At 40.7% G+C, this 5,328-nt stretch overlaps 1 annotated feature.

The window, feature by feature from the left end:
* Nucleotides 3,231-3,731: an enhancer, noted in NCBI's record as "H3K4me1 hESC enhancer chr3:90226998-90227498 (GRCh37/hg19 assembly coordinates)". NCBI's record gives its function as "activates a minimal SCP1, AML or CMV promoter by ChIP-STARR-seq in primed H9 embryonic stem cells {active_cell/tissue: H9 hESC(primed)}" and the evidence as "EXISTENCE:reporter gene assay evidence [ECO:0000049][PMID:30033119]".

Consider the following 5,328-nt stretch of genomic DNA (forward strand, 5'->3'; position numbering starts at 1 on the left):
AACTGCGTTCCTTTGGAGGAGGAGAGGCGCTCTGCGTTTTAGAGTTTCCAGTTTTTCTGTTCTGTTTTTTCCCCATCTTTGTGGTTTTATCTACTTTTGGTCTTTGATGATGGTGATGTACAGATGGGTTTTCGGTGTAGATGTCCTTTCTGGTTGTTAGTTTTCCTTCTAACAGACAGGACCCTCAGCTGCAGGTCTGTTGGAATACCCTGCCGTGTGAGGTGTCAGTGTGCCCCTGCTGGGGGTGCCTCCCAGTTAGGCTGCTCGGGGGTCAGGGGTCAGGGACCCACTTGAGGAGGCAGTCTGCCCGTTCTCAGATCTCCAGCTGCGTGCTGGGAGAACCACTGCTCTCTTCAAAGCTGTCAGACAGGGACACTTAAGTCTGCAGAGGTTACTGCTGTCTTTTTGTTTGTCTGTGCCCTGCCCCCAGAGGTGGAGCCTACAGAGGCAGGCAGGCCTCCTTGAGCTGTGGTGGGCTCCACCCAGTTCGAGCTTCCTGGCTGCTTTGTTTACCTAAGCAAGCCTGGGCAATGGCAGGCGCCCCTCCCCCAGCCTCGTTGCCACCTTGCAGTTTGATCTCAGACTGCTGTGCTAGCAATCAGCGAGATTCCGTGGGCGTAGGACCCTCTGAGCCAGGTGTGGGATATAGTCTCGTGGTGCGCCGTTTCTTAAGCCGGTCTGAAAAGCGCAATATTCGGGTGGGAGTGACCCGATTTTCCAGGTGCGTCCGTCACCCCTTTCTTTGACTCGGAAAGGGAACTCCCTGACCCCTTGCACTTCCCAGGTGAGGCAATGCCTCGCCCTGCTTTGGCTCGCGCACGGTGCGCACACACACTGGCCTGCGCCCACTGTCTGGCACTCCCTAGTGAGATGAACCCGGTACCTCAGATGGAAATGCAGAAATCACCCATCTTCTGCGTCGCTCACGCTGGGAGCTGTAGACCGGAGCTGTTCCTATTCGGCCATCTTGGCTCCTCCACCGAAGACCTACCCTGAACTTCTAATACAAGTTTTTTTCATTTAAAAAGTGGTTAAGAAGCACTATGTTCAAACATTTAAGTTCACATAAATCTCTTTAGAAGTGAAATTAAAGTTTAAATAGAATAGTTCAGATTTTGTATTTTACAGATATATACCAAAATGGTTTTTGTAGAATATGTAAATTCGTTTAAACACAATTAAAACCAATAAATGAAACATAATTTATTATGAGTTTAATGATCACTTTCAATTTTTAAATCTCTGCTACTATATTCACAATCTCGGTCAGTGAAAGTACATACAGCTCTCCATTTGGAAATTGTGTATGAAACTGTTTCTCACTTGTTTAATAGCCTTTAATGTGCTGTTCATTTTCTGCCTAGCGTTGGCCTTGTTATCAACAAGTTTCTAAAATCTCAAAGATACCTTTGAAAAGATGAGAAACACCACTACACAGACAAATTTTAGAGTATCAATCTTGTTACACTTTGGAGGCACAAAAGGGGAAGAGAGGTTGTTAAACTAGTACATAAATTAAATGATTAGTTTTATATTAAAATAAATACTGATACCATGGAAATAAGAATAATTCCCCAGAATTTTCATGATTAAACAGGAACATCAAACATATTTAATACAGCTGCTTCCAGCTATACTCCAGCCACTTAGGATACATGTCCACTTTTCTCTGTTTCAAAGGGTACTTGAGAAGTGTGGCTGTGTTCCCCTCCTCTTGTTCATTGAACTGTCATTTACATGTTACCTTGCATTATACACTGAAAATGTGTTTCTTATGATTAAATTCACCGAGTGACAAGCACTTCTTCCAAACCCAGCATTTTAAAATGTATACATTCAAAAGGATACTCAACAAGACACTGTCACTGTGAAAAGAAGGCAAACATAGTAATTTTTATAGTTTATGGACTCAGTACACATATAGGACAGATGCACATGAAAATAATGCATTTTAATAAACTTCACAATCATTCCCACAAGCAATAGATAATTGCCAAGTATGTATGGGATGGGACACAGGCTGGGGCATTAGAGTAAAGAGTACACACTACCTTAAGGTGGGAGACTAACTTGTGCTCTTAAAAGAATTAGAGAGGAAGGGGACAGGCTTCTCCATTTGGAACACCTTGAGTAAAATCATATTGTTGCCAATCATCAGAGTCTGAGAAACATTATAAGAGCAGAAATTATGGATCATCAAAGATTGGACAAGAGTGAAGATGAAAACAAAAGATTATTTCTAAGTTCTAAAACTGAGAGACCAGGAGACCAAAGGTAAGAAAAGTTGGAGGGGAAATCTCAGGAGGGAAAAGCCTAAAGTTTAGGTTTGAATGTGTTGAATTTTTTTATTATTTTTGATAGCCAGAAGAAAATGAAGAATGGTATTATAACTTGATCAACATGAGAATAAGGACAGAAGATCACTGCCACCATTTCTGCTACTGGGAAAAACGCAATAGCTAAAATACTTAATTGTTTTGACTATAGCCTCTCTTCTTTCAATACGAAACACAGAGCAATGGATGGTCTCAATGAAAGTTTCGGTAGAATACCCTAGGCCTCCTCAATTTCAGCATCTCCAGGGAATGGAGTTGAACTCAGTGGCACTGAACGAAGCCTCCTTCCAAGATTTTTCTTATAGGCTCATTTTCTCTCACTCACCACAAGGTTTTCTCTTTCAAGAGTCTTGTAATTCAAGAACATACACTTTGCTCCAAAGATGAGAGGCCTAAAACTTCAAAATGAAGAGGAACATGATCACACTTCTGTCTTTGCACTGCCTGAAAAAATGGCCTGATACAAGCTCCCTACCAAGAGATACGCAAAATCATAAGAGTTTCCTGCATTTGGCAACCTGATATCTTTCAGAAATGTAGAGTATTGTGGATAAAAACCATGCCCATGTGATTCAGGCTCAGCTCAGCCTTGTGTGGTCAGAGAAACACAAACAGTAACCAGAAGTAATTAAGACATTCAAATCATTTAAACATGTCCTTTTCAAAATGGCAACAGAATGGAAAAATACTTTAAAAACCATAGATCATCTCACGTTCTATTCTCTCCACCTGCCTTAGTCCGTTTTGTGCTGCTATAAAACAACGCCACAGACTGGATAATTTATAAATAGAAATTTATTGGCTCACAGTTCTGAAAATCTGAGAAATCTAAGTTATGTTAATGGCAGGTTCCATGTCTGGTGAGCTCATTCTCTTCTTCCAAGATGGCGTCTTTCATGCTGCATCCTCCAGAGGGAAAAAAGAAGGAATCCTCACAAGGCAAAAGTTAGAAGACTCTAGACCGTGAGAGAGAGCAAGATGGGGCCAAACTCGCCCTTTTATAATGACACCAATGGCACCCATGACAATGGAGGCATCACATCCTAATGCTACCCATGAGAGTGGAGCCCTCACACCCTAATCTCTTCTAGAAGCTTCCACCTCTTAATTCTGTTACAATGACAATTAAATTTTAACATGAATTTCAAATGATAGCACTCTCTGTAACTCATTGATCCCCACAAGGGTAGCAGCAGTTCCTCTCTGATACTCTTTTTTTTGAGACGGAGTCTTGCGCTGTCGCCGAGGCTGGAGTGCAGTGGCATCATCTCGGCTCACTGCAACCTCCGCCTCCCGGGTTCAAGCCATTCTTCTGCCTCAACCTCCCGAGTAAATGGGACTACAGGCGCCCGGCACCACGCCCGCCCAATTTTTTTTTTTTTTTTTGGATTTTTAGTAGAAACGGGGTTTCACCGTGTTAGCCAGGATAATCTCAATCTCCTGACCTCGTGATCCGCCCACCTCAACCTCCCAAAGTGCTGGGATTACAGGGGGCCCGCGGCCGGCCCCCTCCCTGCTACTCCTAGCCCCCAACCAAGCACTCTTCTCAGCCCGAACACCCCATGTGGGCTTTTGCCTTTCCTTCCTCTCTTATTTTCCTTCAATCCCATTATTTTTCTCTCATCCCGAAGTAAATACCCTACTTTTTCCTTTTCAGGTTGTTTTTATTCATTGGCCCAAATTAGCATGAATGTAATATAGGAATGGAAAGAATTCTCCTTAGCAGTTAGAGGCAAGCAGAAAAGAAGGGACAAGCATGTACACATTAAATTTTTTTATTCCCATCGCATGTAAATGCTTAGTTTCAAAACAATTTACTGTCATTATGTTTTATTTTGTTCTGAAACTCCAAGCTCTTTAAAAGACAATTCGAATTCTTATGATGTCTCAGGATCATTCTTTTTTAGGATCCCTTGGGATCTTGAATCAGTGGGAAACTGAATAAAACTCTCCACCGTTACGTGAAACCACAGAGATCTCAAGAGTTCTCTAAGGTTGGACGTGCCAAATTCTTTGATACTTCCCCGGCCCCTTAGAAGAAATGCTGGGACACAGTGCAATGCCAGGTGCTCAGGGGTCTGTGGCCCCCTGCATTGCCACTCAGAAGGCAAGCGTGAAATTCTGTCTGCTTCGAGAATGCATAAGCTGACATTTCCAGATTACCTCTTTTTCTCACACAAACTTTGTTTTTGTACTGTTTTGCTTTTAATGGGTAAGGAGACGTTTGATCATGATTAATCCAAATTTGTAAAATTTGTTAAGTGTTAGAATACTACCAAGAAAGGGCAACCCTATAAAAATATAGATTACACTACTTTTTTTCTAAAATGTTCAATAAATTTTAGGTTATTGGTAATTGAACATCAAGCTAACCATAGATTTTCGTATCATTTACTAGTTTCAATTATGTGAAGTTTAATAATATGAAAATGACAATGTGTTTTTAAAAAGTTCAAGATATCCTTTGGTACATAATGGAACTTTAATAAATATTCATAAATGAATCATTCTTCAAGAGACTACATTATTGGAAGAGGTTGCAGCTAATATTCCCTTTACTGGAAAACTAAAACACTGCCTTTTTGAAAAACAAAGATTTGCTTACAAATTTACTCTTTAGAAAAAGTCGAATTTCAGGTAGTTTATTTGAATAATGTTCCCTATGATAATAGTTGCACACATTTTAATAACTGCTATAAATGTATTAGGGAGTACCATACAGGATAGTTAGTTCAGAGGAATGGGGATTGTAACTATAGTAGAACACATTCTTTCTTTTCAGCCATCAACCTGTCTAGCACTACTTCAATTATGTGATGTGCAACTCTTCGTTATATCTACTTAACTGTTTATTCAGCTAAGTAAAGAGACATCAACCTAAGTAGCACAAAGTGGCTTCAGATTTTACCCAAGTGCTCGATTGCTTTAAAGACATTATTGAATTCTAACTACATGGTGGATAACACTTACATGAAATAAATGAAAATCATTC

Source organism: Homo sapiens, chromosome 3, assembly GCF_000001405.40.
Source record: "Homo sapiens chromosome 3, GRCh38.p14 Primary Assembly".
Lineage (NCBI taxonomy): Eukaryota > Metazoa > Chordata > Mammalia > Primates > Hominidae > Homo > Homo sapiens.